Source organism: Homo sapiens, chromosome 12, assembly GCF_000001405.40.
Source record: "Homo sapiens chromosome 12, GRCh38.p14 Primary Assembly".
In the NCBI taxonomy this organism is placed as follows: domain Eukaryota; kingdom Metazoa; phylum Chordata; class Mammalia; order Primates; family Hominidae; genus Homo; species Homo sapiens.
Genome location: NC_000012.12, coordinates 93,967,896 through 93,985,903, shown reverse-complemented (window position 1 = coordinate 93,985,903; position 18,008 = coordinate 93,967,896). Strand labels below are relative to the sequence as shown.

Here is an 18,008-nt window from a genome sequence, read left to right as displayed (position 1 = left end):
AAATATTGATTGCTTTTGGCCCAGGGGCCTTTCAAGATTTAGAAAACAAAGCTTAGAAGCAATGGCATTTTGTTTTTAAATTTTAAGGATTGAAACAAAACTAAGAATGAATTTTTCAGTAAAAAACAAGGTTACAATTTTTGATATTGATTTCATAAAAGAAAACATCAAGGCTGGGCATGGTGGCTGACACCTGTAATCCCAGCACTTTGGGAGCCTGAGGTGGCAGATCACTTGAAGCCAGGAGTTTGAGACCAGCCTGGCTGACATGATGAAACCCTGTCTCTACCAAAAATACAAAAGTTAGCCAGGCATGGTGGTGGGTGCCTGTAGTCCCAGCTGCTCCAGAGTCTGAGGCATGAGAATTGCTTGAGCCCAGGAGGTGGAGGTTGCAGTGAGCCGAGATTTCACCACTGCACTCCAGCCTGGGCAACAGAGTGAGTCTCAAAAAAAAAAAAAAAAAAAAAAAAATCAGAGCACTGCTTTCTCACACAATTTTAATTATTGCTTTGATTGAAACATAAATTTGTCAGTTCAAATAAAGCTTTTAATAACTCCACTTTGAATTTACATTAGTTCTAAGCCATTTGTTTGGCTAATTATGGATATTACTTGTATATCATACCTGTATACTTACATAGCATACTACTCCATTAGATTGTTAGTATTAAATGAATTAATACATGTAGAACAGTTAGAACAGGGCCTGCCATCATGTATACATATGTAACAAACCTGCACATTGTGCACATGTACCCTAGAACTTAAAGTATAAAAAAAAAAATAAACAGGGCCTGCCATTTAGTTAGAACTCCATACATTGAGCTATCAGTTTTATTACCAAATTTCATCACTTTAAAACATTTTTTTTTGCCTTTTTGCAATATCTCTGAAGTTGGAATGGTATCTTAGTCTGTTTAATCTACTATAACAAAATACAATAGGGTGGCTTATAAACAACAGCAATTTAGATCTCACAGTTCCGGAGGCTGGGAAGTCCAAGATCAAGGCACTGGCAGATTCAGAGTAAGGGCCTGCTTCCTCACAGACAGCTTTGTTCTCACTGTAACCTTATATGGCAGAAGGAGCAGAAAGAAGGGGCATATGCAATCTCTATGCAATCTCTTTTATAAGGACACTAATCTCAGGGGGATTCTGTCTTCTTGACTTAATCACCTCCCAAAGGCTCTACCTCAAATTGGGCAGAAGGATCTAACAGATGAATTTGGGATACACAAAAATTTAGATTAGAGCGGATAGTGTGCCGTAAATTCATTGGTAGCAATTTTTTCTTCTTAATAGTACATTAAATAATAGTGTTTCCAACAACTGATATTGTCTTCGATTCAATAAGATACATTATTATTATTACATGGCCCCTTTTCTCCCATTATTTTTGAATCTTTTGCTATATTTTTGTTTTCCACAAATGATTACCTTTCATTTTATAAATTGAAAGTCAAATACACATATCTTTTATATTATTTTTAAAAATCAAAGTACCACCCCCTTCTACTCCCATAAGATCTGTCAGGGTGAAAGATATTGTGGATAATCAGGGTTTTAGGTAATATATCGCCCATTCACTATATCTTGGGGAATGTTTGATAAAGGAGTTGAAATAAACAACAAATTAGAAGAGAGACTTCAGGTCAGGGAGATGTAAGGAAAACAAGATATGGTATTGTGTAATAGCCCTCATAAAATATGTAGAAGTTTTCTTAATCAATATTCACATAATCAGCTTATTGGATTTACCAGTAGTCTCCACTCCCTTGAACATCTGTAGTGGAAACTTTGAGTACATGAATCTGTAGCAGCTAGGGTTCTTTGGTTGCAAGTAACAGAAACCAACTCTTTCTTGCTAACTTAAGCAAAACGGGAGATTTTTGGAAGGCAGCAGGACAGCAAAAACAATAGGCTCAGAGACCAAACTCAGAAATGGCTGGAGCACCAGGCTTTGCACCAGGGAACACTTATGGATCTTTATGGTGTCAGGAACACCCAGCTTTCTTTTCTGGGAGCTACTCCTTGTTAAAATGGGTCTACTCTTTTTCAATCTGTTTGTCTTTCTGGTCAAGGCCAAAAGTGTAGGGAGGGAGCCCATAGATCCCCAGTTCATGTGCCTGCTCCTTGACTGAGGGAGAGTGGCACAACTTGATCAAAGTCCTACCAGACTGTCTCCAAGGGAAGAGGCAAATCCCAAGAAGGAACTAGGCACTATTACCAAAGGAATGTGGGATGGACACTGGCCTGCCAAAATAACCAACAAATGACCCCTACCAATCTAAACAACAACAGCAACTAGCACTTGGTCATCCCATCATGCTAAATTCCACAACCTGTAGGAAAGTTCATTGTAAAATGGAAAGAGCCATAAACACAGCTTTTGTACTTGTACTCCAGAAGACATCTTACCTGGAATAGTACTATAAATAAAGAGGAACTTGAGGGCAGCATGGGTGCGGCAAATCTTCTTCAGCTCAGCCGGCATCCCTCAAAGAGCGAATGCACAGGCCACAAAGAAAGGCACTTCCCGAGGGCACCCCTAGCTTTTGCCTTTATCCTTGACATGCCTATTCAGCTATTAGAGCTGCGTGATCCTACAGGTCAATCTCATTAGCTCATGTTCAAAATACTCGAATTTGTTTCCATGCACAAGATTAATTCTAGCTGGTAGCTTGACTTACACATTAGATGACTCACCACGTGCATGCAAACAGTCTTAGCTTTTCTCACAGTTGCCTGAGTCAACTTGCTTCTGTTAACTTGGGCGAATGATAGTTCGCTTTGTTTCCATCACCTGGCTTTTTTGGTGTTTCGTTCTGCCCCCAAGTGCCACTTTCTCCTTCCTGACTGATCTTTATCTCCTTGCCTTTGCATTTACTGTCCTACTGATTCCACAAACAATGCCCACTCCGGGGCACATGTTCCTGCTGTGGAGAAAAACAAACCAAAGCACAGCTGCTGAGCTTGTCACCTGCTTTCTTGGTAGGAGCAAGATGTTATTTTTTGCAAAGGCGGTTGTGGCAAGAAGCCCATCACTTAGCTTTAGCAGGAGCAGAGCGGGGACTAAAGCTTCATGTGAATCTAATCTGCAAAAATCCCTGGATGGAGTCTTTCTGGTTTCCATCTGCCACCTTTAAAATGATGTGTTTTATTATTACTGCACTTACCAAGAGTTATCTTTTCCACTGTGGTTTAAATACAATGTTAAAGACATTTAGAGAAGAACCAGTAATTTAAAGGAAAGTTGCTAAGCCAATATTTTTGTATGAACTTGGGTGTAGAAGACTGAGGGAAACTAGAAAATGGATGTTTGATATGGCATTTCAACATAGGGTTAGATGGTATTACTTTGATTTATGTTTTTGCTTATTCATGTGTGAGTGCATATTACATGTGGAGTTCTGTTTAATGGCTGACCCTGCACAGAGGCAGGTCTGAGAGCTCCAAGAAACACTTAGGTATGAACAATTTGCCTTGTCCCAACTTGCACTCTGCAACCCCACTTGCTTCCCATCCTTTTGGCTCCTGAGCTCTGGTTTTTCCATTTGTTGACCTTGCCTCGCTCCCTGGATCTCACACCTGGTACCAGTTTTCTGCTTACAGCCTTTTACTGCCTTTCTTGATGAGAGTTTAGATTTTCCTTCTGGCCTTCTTTTCTTCTGCCACTGGCTCGGCCCTCAGCACCTTCACCATCTCCTCTTTGACCAAGGACAGCTGTAAACAACTCTGTGAGCAGAACCCAGACATTTAAGGGGAAAAGAAAACCAGAATAAAGAATGTGTGGTTTATTTGAGGAAATAGACCCTGCATATATTGATAAACAAGGTTTGAAACACACAAAAAGCGTTCAGAGATAGAGCACTGTCAAAAGCCTAACTTTTGGAAAAAATTTTATAGGCTAAGGGTGATAAACAAGATCTATCTTCCATGCCAATTCTAATCGGTTGGTAGTGCCAACTGTGGGAAAGGATTCTAAAGCTTCATCTGCATTGAGCTGGAAAGAGTATCTTGATCAATTAGTGAAATGACCTTGAGCAAGGCAACATGCATTTGCTTATTGCTACCACTGCTGTGACAAATGGCCCACCCTTTAGAAATTTTTAAGTAGGAGAGTTTTTAAAAATGAGATCATTATTTTAAGGAGATTAATTTGTCTCTGCACAGGATGATTGAGAGGAGGACAAGATGTTTCCAGAGACACAAGTTAAAAGGCTCTTATTGTCTTGTTAAATGACAAAATGGCTAAACACAGCACCCAAAAGATGGGGAAAAAGATGACATAAGCTAGAGGAGCACTGTTCTCTGGGGAGTGAGGCTGAACTAATGTCAGTAGGAATTAGCTGGACCTGGGAAGGATGTCGCAGTGGCAGAAGCAGTGATTTCTTATACCTCCTGACAGGGGGCTAAGAAGGAAGAATGTTGGTTCCCCATCCCCAGTCCAATGCCAAATAGGCATCGGTATTGAGAGCAGCAGAAAACTATGTCCCATGCCACTTGCCAGAGGGGAGAGCTATCCTCTATCCTTTCCTGCTAAGCCCCCAGCAGGTGGAAGATGACCAGTGTGGACTCTGGGTTGGGGCTGGCAAAACCAAAGACTGATGAGTGTCTGTATCTGGATGTCGATCATTGTGAATATAGGAAGAAACGGATGGATAAAAATATTTTAGGAGGTAAAATAGAATTGATTAAAAGAATAAAATAAATAGGATTTTGTGAGTAACTAAAAAAGAATTAGGAAAAGTAGAAGTGACTCTACAGTTTCAGATATGGGAAAATGCGGAATGTAAGAGATTTACAGAGGAAGTTGAAGTGTGGCAGAGACTGCTAATTTTCTTTAATATCTGTCTTCTCTTTTCCCATAGAACCAGAACTGCAGACTTTTAGCTGAGCATATTACTTCTCAGAATAAAGATTGCATTTCCAGTCTTCCTTTCGGCTCAGTGCCTGTGTGTAAGTTCTTGCCTATAGGATATAAATAGAAGCAACATATGCAAGTTCAGGGTTGCGCCTTCCTCCTCCCTTTTTCCCCTTTCCACTGCCAAGGAGGCTTATGAAATGATGCTGCTGAGCCATCTTGAACCATATGGGCAAAAGCAACTCTCTAGAGATGGAACAGCAAGATCAAAGGATCCTGGTCACTGATGCTGCCATAGGAGCCCAGGACTGCTTACACGTGGGCTGTTACAGAGGTGTGGGCATCAGAGAGATCCTCTCTCTGTGCCAATTCTCTATTATCACAAGTCTTAGTTACAGCCTCACCTATATCCTAATTTCTACCAGGAGTGACTTTTATAAGAAAGGTATTAAAAAATTACATTAGGGCCAGGTGCAGTGGCTCATGCCTATAATCCCAGCACTTTGGGAGGCCAAGGCGGGTGGATCATGAGGTCAAGAGATCGAGAGCATCCTGGCCAACATGGTGAAACCCCATCTCTACTAAAAATATAAAAATTAGCTTGGCATGGTGGCACACACCTGTAGTTCCAGCTACTCGGGAGGCTGAGGCAGGAGAATCACTTGAACCCAGGAGGCGGAGGTTGCAGTGAGCTGAGATTGCGCCACTGCACTCTAGCCTGGCGACAGAGCAAGACTCCGTCTCAGAAAAAAAAAAAAAAAAAGGCCAGGTGCGGTGGCTCACGCCTGTAATCCCAGCACTCTGGGAGGCCGAGGCGGATGGAGCACGCGGTCACGAGATCGAGACCAGCCTGACCAACATGGTGAAACCCGTCTCTACTAAAAATACAAAAATTAGCTGGGCGTGGTGGCACGTGCCTGTAATCCCAGCTACTCGGGAGGCTGAGGCAGGAGAATTGCTTGAACCCAGGAAGTGGAGGTTGCAGTGAGCTGAGATCGCACCACTGCACTCCAGCCTGACAGGAGAATTGCTTGAACCCGGGAAGTGGAGGTTGCAGTGAGCTGAGATCGCACCACTGCACTCCAGCCTGGTGACGGAGCGAGACTCCATCTCAAAAAAAAAAAAAAAAAAAAAAAAATTATGTTGCATCTTCACCTATAACCTAAATTCTACCAGAAGTGTCTTTTATAAGAAAGATGTTACAAAATTACATGCCAGGGCCAGGTGTGGTAGCACCCATTATGTTCCCAGCTACTCAGGAGGCTGAAGCAGGAGGATCTCTTGAGCCCAGAAGTTAGAGGCTGCAGTAAGCTATGATTACACCACTGCACTCCAGCCTGGGTGACAGAGTAAGACTCCATCTCTAAAATAAATAAATAAAAATTACATGCCAGGATAATCAGGCATTTTGCAATGAGATGATTGAACTGCTCTATGTAATCCTCTCAGTAATCAGAAAAATGGAGGGGATGCTGGAAAACTAGAGACAACCAAAAGTAAGGAAGAAGTTTTTTTTTTTTCCTTTTTTTTTAGAGAAAGCAGGTGGGTCCTGACAATGAGAGATTGGTAAGCATGGAGGTGACCTGAGCCAGGTCGTAGACCAGAAAGATTCATGAGCATTTGGAACAAGAGATGGCAACCAGCAGGAGGCAACATAAGCTCAGAAAGACCAAATACAATTTTTTGTTTTGATTGTGACTGCAGACAGGTAAATCAAGATATGTCTGTGCACATAACATATCTGAATTTCCACCAGGCATTTAACAAAGTCTTTCTGAATTTGTTTCTGGAGAAAATGGAGGAGTCTGTAGTAGATGATAGCCTTGTTGGATGGATGCGTGTGTAACTGAGTGGATCTGCATCCACATGGGAGGAAAGTACTGGTAAGACAAAGTGCCAAAGAGGCCCCGCACTCAATCTCCATTAATACAAGTCTAGAGTGCATGGCAAGGAGAGAATTGGACTGATATACCCACCCAGCTGGAATCTATGTCCCATTCATAGTGCCTTGAAAAGAGACATTGACAGATTGCTACTTATCCAGAAGAGGGCAATCGGGGTAAATTAGAAATTAAAGAACTGATAAAGAATGGAAGGTATTTAGCCTGAAGACCTGAAGCCTTGGGAGGAGGGCTGGATGATGGCGACAGTCTTCAAGTATCTTCAGAATTATTCCTTTAGAATGTTCTATGTGGTTCCATTGGCTGCATGTTTTCCCCAAGGCTATAATATGAGTCAGTGGCAGACTGGAATTGGAACTTGGGTTTCAGAAGTGCTGGTTCTTGCAACATAGTGTTCCACTCCAGGCCCCTCCTGATAACAGGCTACTTGAGCATGATGTTTTGTTTCTGGCTTTTGGGTGATTTATGTTTTTGTGTGAATGCATTTTAGGCTCTGTTCAGAAGGCAAAGAGGGTTGGAAGAAGCTGAAGGTTAGAGACACATGTTTCCCACCTCCCCACTTCCTCCTGGGTCTCCTCTTCTCTTTCCTCTTGTGCTCCCTTCTCACCCACCCCCTCCACCCACAATGAATCCCCAATTTCTCTCACTTCATTATCTCAGCATCGTATTAGAAGAAAGAGCCGGGCGCGGTGGCTCACGCCTGTAATCCCAGCACTTTGGGAGGCCAAGGTGGGCGGATCACCTGAGGTCAGGAATTCAAGACCAGCCGGGCCAACATGGAGAAACCCCATCTGTACTAAAAATAAAAAAATTAGCTGGGTGTGGTGGCACATGCCTGTAATCCCAGCCACTTGGGATGATGAGGTAGGAGAATTGCTTGAACCCAGGAAGTGAAGGTTGCTGTGAGCTGAGATCACGCCACTGCACTCCAGCCTGGGCAACAAGAGCAAAACTCTGTCTCAAAAAAAAAAAAAAAAAACAAAAAAGAAGAAGAAGAAATATAACTAAACTAATTAAGAGGTGGTTTGGTAGTGGGTAAAAGAGCTCTAAAGTCTAGATTTGGGGTCAGATAACCTTGGTTTATAGTCTCTCTCTCTCTCTCACCAACTAACTGGGTGAATTTGGACCCAGTATTTAGTTTCTCTGAGCTCCAGTTTCTTCAAATAAGGGGATTTAAAATTCCTTTCTGGTTCTACAATTCTATGATAAAATATCAATTCAAGTGAATTCACATTTTTCAAGGGAAAATCCCCAAGTCCGTACCTGCAAGACCCTCTGGTCACCAGAGGTTCATATGCTATCCTCTGCCATGCACAGAGCTCTCCAGCCTCTTCTCTTCTCATTGTCTGGGTCCTCTTCTCCCATCTCCATCTGTCTAAATGTCATCATCATCCTCCAAGTTCAATGTAGAGATCTTCTCTGAAGTCCAAGAGCACTTGCTGTCTACAGCTTGACTAGTTGGACAAGGCCATGTCTTTTGGAGCAGGAAATGAGTGAGTTTGCCACTGCACTATCAAGAATTTTTTTCTTAGTAAATATTGATTGATTGCTAACATGAAATAGTCAATCTGTAATGGCAGGATTAAGAATTCAGCAACATAGCCTAGTATAATAATTATTTGAGAAGCCAACATATCCCTACATCCTCCTCAATTATGTATATAAGATTAGCCTTGGCAGCCCTGTATCCAGGTACGTGTATCAGAGTGCTTTTAACATCCCCAGAACAGTGGGAGAGACTCAGCTCTGTTCACCAAATCACCATTCAGCTTAACATTCACTGAGCACCAGCTTGGTGTCAGGCACTGTGCTAAGTGCTTTACACAAATCATCCCACGTGACCCTCACAATCACTGCATGAGATAGTGAGTGTTATTGTCCCTGCTTTATAGATGAAGAAACAAAAGTTCAGAGGAGTTAAATAACTTGCCCAAGGTCACTAACTACCTTGAGTACTCAAAGCAGTTAGTGACCTTAGTTACTCATAGTAATTGAATATGATTAGTTACAGTAGTTGAAGGCAAGAACCAAATCCGGGCTGTCTGATGCTAGAAACTGAGTCTTACCTAAGGCACCAGACAGCTCCTTACAGTAGGCACACAGACTTCTCCCTCCTGTGGCCTGGAGTCCGGGAAGAGAAACGGGTTGGCAAATAGGTCGTCTGAATACCTCCAGATAGTGTAAGAGTAGGCACAAGATGGGCCAAGGGAAGGCTTGGCCAAGGTAGGCCAAGGGATAGTATAAGGGTAAGCACACAGCAGGGCCAAGGGAAGCCTCCTGAGAAGAACTGGTATCTATATGGAGTTTCCCAAAATGACCCAAGTAAGCCAGAAGAAGCAAGGTGTTCTCCAAGCAAAGGAAACAGCAGAAGCCAAGAAGCAACTGATAAGAGGGGAGAACATGGCTTGTTTATATCAATGCAAGCAGTTTAGCATGACTGCAGGACAGAGGGTAGGGAGAGGAGTAAGGCTGGGGCGGTAGACAGGGGTCATAGTAAAAATGGCCTCATATGCTCATGTAAGACATTTGGGCTTTGTGTGAGAGTAGTGGTGGCCACTGAAGGACTTTAAGCAGAAAAATGATATGATCGATTTCTGCATTAGAAAGATCATTAAGTTTGCTGTGTAGAAAAATGGATGTAGCAGCCACCTTCTTCCTTCCTAACAGAACTCCCAGCTTGTTTAGAAATCCCCCTCTTCTGGGTGGCCAAATGCATTAGGGGGGTTTCCTTGAGGGCTTCTAGAAAGGTTTCCTCCTGTATAAGTGAAGCACACAAGAAGAGATGGACTTTTCTACCTCTGGACTTTGTAGAGACCGGATATGACACCAGGAATGGATGTGGTTATCAATCTACCAGCCTGATGAAGTTACCACATGGGTGAGTTTAAGGTTAAGAGGTGCAGAAAGAAGTAGGGCCAGAGCCTTGGTGGGCTGTTCTGGAGCCTGCCCCTACGAGGAACCTGTGGTTATGTGCAACAGCAAGCCAATTTTAGTCACAGTTTTCTCATAGCCAACAGCATCCTGACTGACATTTCAGTCAGGCCAGAGGCAGGGGGACTGGTGAGGCAGCCATTGTGGTAATCCAAGCAAATAGGATGGTGAATTGGCCTCAGGCAGTGGCCATGGGAATGAAGAGGAGTAGGCAGATCCAGGAGACAGGGGAAGGCTCCATAAAACATGGTGCTTGATAAGGACGTGGGATGATGAGACAGGGTGGAGTTTAGGAATTCCCTCAATCACATTTTCCTCTTGACTTCCATGATGAATTCAGATGTATTCTTGTAATACAGAGCCTTTTTTCAATGTCAGTTTAGACTCAAGAAGCTCTGCTGCTCCCTCCAAGAAGTCTCCAACTGAGACTGCAATGCCACAGGGACAAACCTCCCAGGGGAGAGTGGTAAAAAGAAAGATGCCAGCAGCAGGCTCTCCCTTTGTTTCCATCCAGTTCCTTTTCTTTTCTGTGTTTTTGAGCAGTCGTCGCAGTTTAATTCTGAATTTATCTTATTAGCCCATTCTGGGCTGAAAAGATATCCTCCCACCTACTGACCTCTTTGGAGACTATCTCATGAGTCCAATCCTGAAGAAAGCACCATATCCCAAGGCCTAAAAACCAATAGCTCCGGTTTTCAATCCAGGGCTAGGTCCTGTCTAGGTCCAGGCAGAACACCAGGGCTGGAATTTCTTTCACAGTCTTTGCTGTTTCTTTCACGCAACACTATCTTCAGTGGAGTCTGTGTCTTTCATTTCCCAGGTCGGGGCTCTCTTTTGTCATTGCTGCCATAGGAAAGCCTTAAGGGAAGGCTCGCTGCTACCACATAAAAGCGCACCATTGTCTTGCGGCTGGAGACATCCCACCTGCCTTTACAGATCCACTCTCCACCTTTCTCTCCCTGTGTAGGATGCATGAGGCTAACGCATGAGGTATCAATAGGCTCATTTCCCTGCAGCTTCCAGTTGGGCTGGGCCAATTGCAAGCAGGAGATCAGAGAGAGACAGTACATGGAAGCAAGGGTCTTGATTCCTTTAGCAACTCCATTTGGGGATTCTGCAGATGGGCTGCATTCCTTATACAAAGATCCTAGCGCCTTTAAGGCAAGCTTCTACCCACAGCCCTCTTAATCTTGGGATTTCAGTAACTGCTCTCTCCCCTTGCTCCTTCAGGCCTAGGGTGGAGAGCTGTACCTAGCTATTCATGAACAACTACACTCTCCCTTGTGGCTTCTCTATACCCTGCCCATAACTTTGAAAACAATTCCTTTATTTAACTGTACTCAAAGTATCCCGATTTGAGTATACCATCTCTTTCCTGCAAGATCCTGGCTACTCCCAGCCAGTCCAAGGGCTTTGGAAGTCATCAGTCATCTTATCTTTTTCCATTGACCTTTCACATCTCATCCAATGTTTTTCATTGTGATTGTTTAGGGAATTTGAAAAGACAAGACTAAATATGTAAGGAGCATGATGAAAATCTGACCCCAAGAAGGAGCATGGGAAGGAAGCTTGATTGGAAGCATTCTAGACTGCTAGGCAATCTAGAAGAGATTTGGCAAGGCTGCTGGGGAGTTCTCATGCCAACATCAGCCATCAGAGGAGTCTTTTGTTTCCCAGGAATGGGCCCGCTTTAGTATTCCTGCTATGCTCAGTCACTGGGAGCAACCCACTGGAAGTGTGGCCTCGGTGCAAATATAACAATAGATTTCAGAGCACAGCTACTTCCCTGTGGTTGGAAGTCTGTGAGACACATTCTCACGGCTACTATATTCATGCCATAAACATTTTTAGCACCACTCCTACCTCCTATCACTAACACTCTATTTTTACCTTGCTGTAGCTATTTCTTCCTCAAAGAGGGTTGTATTAAAGTTCCAAATGTGATTTCTCAGTTACAGGGTGATATCAGGATACCCCACTGTGGGAAGGTTGGCCGGCCGTCTCCCAAATGGCCTGACAGTGTATCATTTATTACCTTACAAATTTACAATCATCAGTAGTTGGATAATTAGACTGGTGAGCTCAGACCTGACTTTGTCAACACATCATGCCATGCGTCTCTCAGGGCAGGCTCATGCTAATTACATTCAAAAGGCTGATATAAAACATCAGAATGCCAAGTTATTCACTTCTCGTAAGAAACCATCTTTAGAAGGACAAGAATATCCGAAGTTTCTAGGATCAATACATTCTTTCCCTGTAGGAGCTAAACAGTAATCAGGAGATTACTTGTTGAGTGTGACATCAGATCAAAGAGAATTGGATAAGCCAAAGGTATGCAGTAGCAAAGTAAGCTACTCAGTACATCTTTCATGTCACACAGAGATAGTCTTACAGACAGAATGTGAAGGCACAAACACAAGAGCTATTATACCCCTCTAGATACATTTACCCACTAGGAGTGGCATTGCACCCCCAAAATCCATTGGCTAAGGCTTCTTTTCCATTGGGAAGTGTTTGAATGAGCACCACCAATATTTGTCTCTGTGTCTGTCTTTTTTCTCTGTTTCCACAGTTGCCCATCCCAACCACTGCCTCCCCTTGCACCACCATCCTCCCACTCCCAGCTAGTCCAAGGGCTTTGGAAGTCATCCTGTCTTTTTCCGTTGATCTTTCACATTTAGTCCAATACTACAGTTATTACAGTTAAGCACTTAAAAAGTCAGTCCTGTTTCCCCCATTTCCAAATTTTGGAGGCCCTTAAACACGAACAATAGTCAAATACTATCAACAAAGTTCAGTTTTCTTTTCAGGGCCTTGAGCTGAAAAAAGGAGCCTCACGATATATTCCTGGGTTCACTTGGTTTTCATCCCTGGTAAAACATACCCTTCAACTGTGTTTCCTTTCACCACAAATGGAGTCTGAATGGTTGCTTTTGCCAGGGCCATGGTGAGAAGAGCAGAAGAGCCATCTGCAAACCCTAGCCCTCTCCAATTGGCTGCCTGTTGGAAGGGGAAGTGTAGTTGACCACCTCTAGCTATACACAAAGCCAAGTAATTCTGCAGGCAAACTTCTGTCTCCATGGAGCCTGCCCAGCCACCCTCGCAAGTAGAGAAATTCCTTCTTTCAGTTTGGAAAATGGTCCCAGCTATGATGCCAAACTCTCCTGAGTCATATGTAAATGTAGAAACACATACTCTGTGGTCTTCCTCTGGTCAGACTGTCCTCCTTGGCCTTAGCTTACATTGCTCTGGTAATGTCCTTAATACACTTCACCAGACTACTAGGCAACCAATTGGTTAATACCGTGCAACGAATTCTCCCATTCCACTTTGTGAGAAGGCAGCAAATGAGCCTTGCCGCCATGTCCCAGCATGGTATTTACATGCTTATTACAAGTCCACATGGCCAGTTGGAGGGGCATTTCCCAGCCCCTTGTCTTTGCCTTCTCAGACTAAGAACCAGAGAAGCCGCAAGACTCATTTGTTTTTGGTCAAATGTGGGTAGGGCACGGATTAAATCCTGAGAGTCAGGAAACCCAATTTTCAGGCTGATTTTGTCCTGGACAAACTCAGTAGCTCTCAACAAAACACTTAATCCTTCTGGAATGCAGTTGCCTCCTCCTTTTAAAATAGTAATGTACCATTTGGCCTCACTCACCTCTAGGAACGCTTAAGAGGTAAAAATGTGATAATGGATGTGAAAGTGCCACAAGAGATGTAGAAGATATATAAGGAGCTCTGCCAACCAAAGGACTGCATTTGATACAGTACTTTTTCAAACAAAACAAAAACGTCTCTGCAAGCTGGGGGAATACTTGTGTTTAACCCAAGAAGGAGCCTTCAGCAGATCTCAGCAAATCAAAATAGAATATTCCCATTGAAGAACTCCCTGGGTTTCCTCTGGCCTCACATAACACAGCAATATGCCGGGGCTCTGCGACTTCATTTATTTGGCTCACCCATGCCTCTAGCATCTCCTAAGATGCTTAGAACTTAACTGAGAATACTTTAAGTCACAATCAAAAAGGGTAAGGAGAGGTATATTAGTTAAAACTTTTTTTTTTTTCAGAGACAGGGTCTCACCATGTTTCCCAGGCTGGTTTCGAACTCCTGAACTCAAGTGATCCACCCACCAATGCCTCCCAAAGTGCTGGGATTACAGGTGTGAACCACAGCACCCAGCCAGTTAGAACTTTTTTTGATTTCTATGCATGGAAACCCATCTTTAAATAATTTAGTCAGGCAATGGGAATTTATTGGAGGTGGATTCTCATAACTGCGGGAAGATGTGAAGTGCAGCTGGACTATGAGGACAACTGAATTGGGAACTTACATTCTCTGCCAGTAGAATTTCTCCCCATCTCTCATCTGCCACTCCATGCTTCATTCTCTTAAAATGATCTCTTTAACAGGTAGGTCACATGGTCACATTTAGATTCCAGGCCTCAGAGCCCACATCTTCACCTCCAAAATGAAACCAGCTCTCTTTTCTTAGTTCCAGTTTGAAAAGTTCTGGGGAACAATCGTGGTTAATTTGGTTTGTCTCAGATGGCCACTCCAGGACCAATGAACCATGCCCAAAGGAGCAAATTACTGCAACTGGTCAAATTAAGCCAGGTTCCACCCCTGATCCAATGGCTGGAAGTAGATTAGGAGCTAGGGTCAATAGTCCAGACATGGCCACAAGGGACAACTCTGTGATTTACAGTCCTTCTGTAACTATAATAGGTTCATTGCCTGATGCACAGTGAGTCAGCATACTGAGACACTGGGGGTTGCAGCAGAGAAAGAGTTTAATAATCATAGGACAGCTAAAGGAGAAGATGAGAAAAAACCTCAAATCCATCTCCGCAAGAGGTTTGGGGATACTGTTTCTAAGGAGTCTGTACAGGTGATGGACTAACGTGTAGGGATTGTTGATCTGTTGAGAAGTGAAGGGTGAAGTCACGGGACAGGCAGCGTATTGAAGAAACCGCATTCCTATGCTGAATTGGTTCCTTGGTGAGGGTCTTTACATTTGTTGGCGTCAGCCATTCTGCTGGATTTGAAAAACGCCCTAAGCAATTCATGGGTAAAATGGTCTATTGTCAGAGATTCTATCTATAGGAATAATGGGTTCCAGATGGGTGCAGGTAGTCAGTGTGCTATTATATGACTCTTAGTTAGCAACTGCAAGGGAGTGGTCAAAATGTGCCCTGGTCAATGCCTAAAGATAATTCTGCCTAAAACCTGACTTGTAATTCTCGTTAATCCCGTGATGGTGGTTTTACTTGCCAGAAAATGGGGCATTAGTGGAAATTGGGCAGCCAATCTAATTGCAGGAAGTGAAGGGGAGCTGCTGAAAATGCCTCTGTATTTTTTTTTTTTTTTTTTTTTGAGATGGAGTCTGGCTCTGTCGCCCAGGCTGGAGTGCAGTGGCGCCATCTTGGCTCACTGCAAGCTCTGCCTCCCGGGTTCATGCCATTCTTCTGCCTCAGCCTCCCAAGTAGCTGGGACCACAGGTGCCCGCCACCATGCCTGGCTAATTTTTTGTATTTTTATTTTTTTAGTAGACACGGGGTTTCACCGTGTTAGCCAGGATGGTCTTGATCTCCTGACCCCGTGATCTGCCCACCTCAGCCTCCCAAAGTGCTGGAATTACAGGCGTGAGCCACTGTGCCCGCCCAAAAATGCCTCTGTTATTTTTATCTAAGTTGGAGTCAAACTTGTCCAAGAAATGCGGAGACTGGATGCAGAATCTACCAACACTGCACTTGGCTGTGCCTTGCTCAGAGACGTGAAAGTTCTTAGGGCCTTGTCTGGTTCTGTTAGATCATCATAGGTTTAACATGTGAGGGGTTTAGATAGATGGGGAATAAAAATCACTCCAGATATTTGCCAGTATTTCTCTAAGAATTTTGGCTTTGTGATCATATAGATGTTATCATTCTTCCTCCTCCCCCTTCCCAAGCATCTCAAGTCATAGTACAAACCACCAGTTTTGTATTAATTCATTTCCATGACAACAAATTGCTATTCTTTCTCTTTTTCCCTTCCTCTATCACTTACACATGATATAGAAACGGTAGCAAATGTCAATATATTTTCACACCAAGAGTAAGGACTTGTGCTAACAATACCAAAAAAATGTGCCTCATTAACTTTTACCAAATGCTAGGAAAAAAACAAAACAAGTATATACATGAAGAGGTTGGTATTTTCTCCCAGAGATCAAATTACATTTAATTCTTCCAAAAAAGCAGTAAAGCAAATGAAACTCCTTTTAAAATACAATTAATTATAGGCCAACTCCTTTGGAATTGTAATAATTTTTATTCTGTCGTAGAGCTTCTTTCACAATGACTTTGCATTTCAGGTACAGAGACTGCACAGAATCTCCCAGAAGACCTTAGTCAATGCAGAATTAAATGGAAAAATTCCACTTTTGTCAAAGGTGAAAAATCTGGCTTTCCTTACATGCAGAACCTCTAGAGACATCAACATGGTCTGTATGAGCAACCTCAGCAAAAAAAAAAAAAAAGCCTCATCTGATAGACTGTCAGTCACAGAAATAATAAAGGAAAGAAAGAAGAGAGGAAGCTGTATTTTATTTTAATATAATTACTCTTTTTGCTTTCCTAATACGACAGTGTGAACATACATTGGGCTGTTTCTCAGTGACAAAACTGGCTACCATGGCAATAAATGCTCTTTACTTACTTCTGGGTTTTATAAGATGTCGGTCACTGAAAGAACAATGTGGTGTGTAAAATCAACCTCTTTCTAAAATAGGTGAAAAATAACCGAGTTGCGAACTTTGAACTGCTTAAGAGTATGCACTTGACGATAGTAGTGAGTTGATTGGAGGTCCCCCTCCCCAAATATGCCCATGTCCTAATTCCCAGAACTTGTGAATGTGTCCTTCTTTGAAAGAAGAGTCTTGGAAGATGTAATTAAATTAAGGATCTTAAGGTGAGGAGGCCATCCTGGATTATTTGAGTCTGCCCTAAATACCATGACAAGTGTCCTTATAGGAGACACACAGAGGAAACCCACAGAAGAGGAAGAGGCAATGCGACCACAGAGGCAGGGGTTGGAGTGATCTGGCCACCAGGTTCTGGAAGAAACCAAGAACAGATTCCCCCGAGAGCCCCTGGAGGGAGTGTGGCCCTGCCAACACCTGCGTTTTCGATTCTGGCCTCCAGAACTGTGAGTTTATCAATTGCCATTGTTTTAAGCCCCTGAGTTTGGGGTTATTTGGTATGGCTGCCCCAGGAAACAGATGTAGTAACCCACACAGTTTTTGAAGCCAGGAGACATAAAGAACAATTTAATCATTCAACAGTGTAAGCCCGCTGAAAGAAGATTGTAATGGTTGGTGTCTGAACTTCACACATCTTGCAGGAACAGGCTTCCCATAAAGGTTTAGACGTTGGTGTAGTAGACTTCCCACTTGAGGATGAGCTCCAAGGAGAGAACGTTCCTTCAGCACGTACCAGGCGTCAGACACTGTGCGGGTGTTTGCTCTGCATTTTCTGTAGGAGATTGTAGCATTCATATTCACTGGCCCACATCTGCCCACATTTCAGATAAAGGCTGCTCTGTCAGTCTGAGCCCCGAAGTAAAGATGAGGAGCTTGAGAGGCACATGTAGCAGGAGTTACAACAAAACAACGGAGTTTTAGGGCTTGTTTATCACAGCAGCACAGCCTCACCTGTCCAGAATGACAACCTTGTCTAATCTTCTTAATGACTTCATGGAGTGGATATCATCATATTAATTGTATTTATTTAGTTTTTGAGACAGAGTCCCATTTTGTCACCCAGGCTGGAGTGCAGTGTGGCCCAATTGCAGCTCACTGTAGGCTTGTCTTCCCAGGCTCAAGTGATCCTCCCACCTCAGCCCTCTGAGTAGCTGGGACCACAGGTGTGTGCCACAATGCCCGGCTAATTTTTGTATGTTTTGTAAAGATGAGCGTTTCACCATGTTGCCCAGGCTGGTCTCGAACTCCTGAGCTCAAGCGATCTGCATGTCTCGGCCTCTCAAAATGCTGGGATTACAGATGTGCATTTTCATTTTAGAAATAAGAAAACTGAGACTCAGAAAAATTCATTACATTGCTCAAAGACACAGCTAATAAAAGGCAGAACTGGATCTGACATCTTAAACAGGGGGATTAGTACAACTTTTTGAGTTGAGGTGATATACAAAAACATGTAAATTCAGCAACATTAATCTATGTGGAATGTAGAATAACTTGAAAGAAAGAAGGTGGGAAGACGAGATCAGCAGTTATGAAGTAGAGAGAATTCACAGAAAAACTAGGCACA

General features: G+C 43.1%; 1 long non-coding RNA gene across 1 annotated transcript in view, besides 1 other annotated feature; it reads left to right on the top strand.

Moving 5' to 3' along the window:
• Nucleotides 1-16,228, top strand: part of LOC105369912 (uncharacterized) — a 41,668-nt gene extending 25,440 nt beyond the window's left edge. Inside the window, exon 3 of the long non-coding RNA XR_001749263.2 lies at nt 16,055-16,228. This is a non-coding gene — a long non-coding RNA (uncharacterized LOC105369912). The remainder of the gene's footprint in view (nt 1-16,054) is intronic.
• Nucleotides 6,377-6,671: a silencer, noted in NCBI's record as "tiled region #7430; HepG2 Repressive non-DNase unmatched - State 13:Ctcf". NCBI's record gives its function as "represses a minimal TATA promoter and a strong SV40 promoter by Sharpr-MPRA in HepG2 cells {active_cell/tissue: HepG2}" and the evidence as "EXISTENCE:reporter gene assay evidence [ECO:0000049][PMID:27701403]".
• Nucleotides 16,229-18,008: the final 1,780 nt, after the last annotated feature.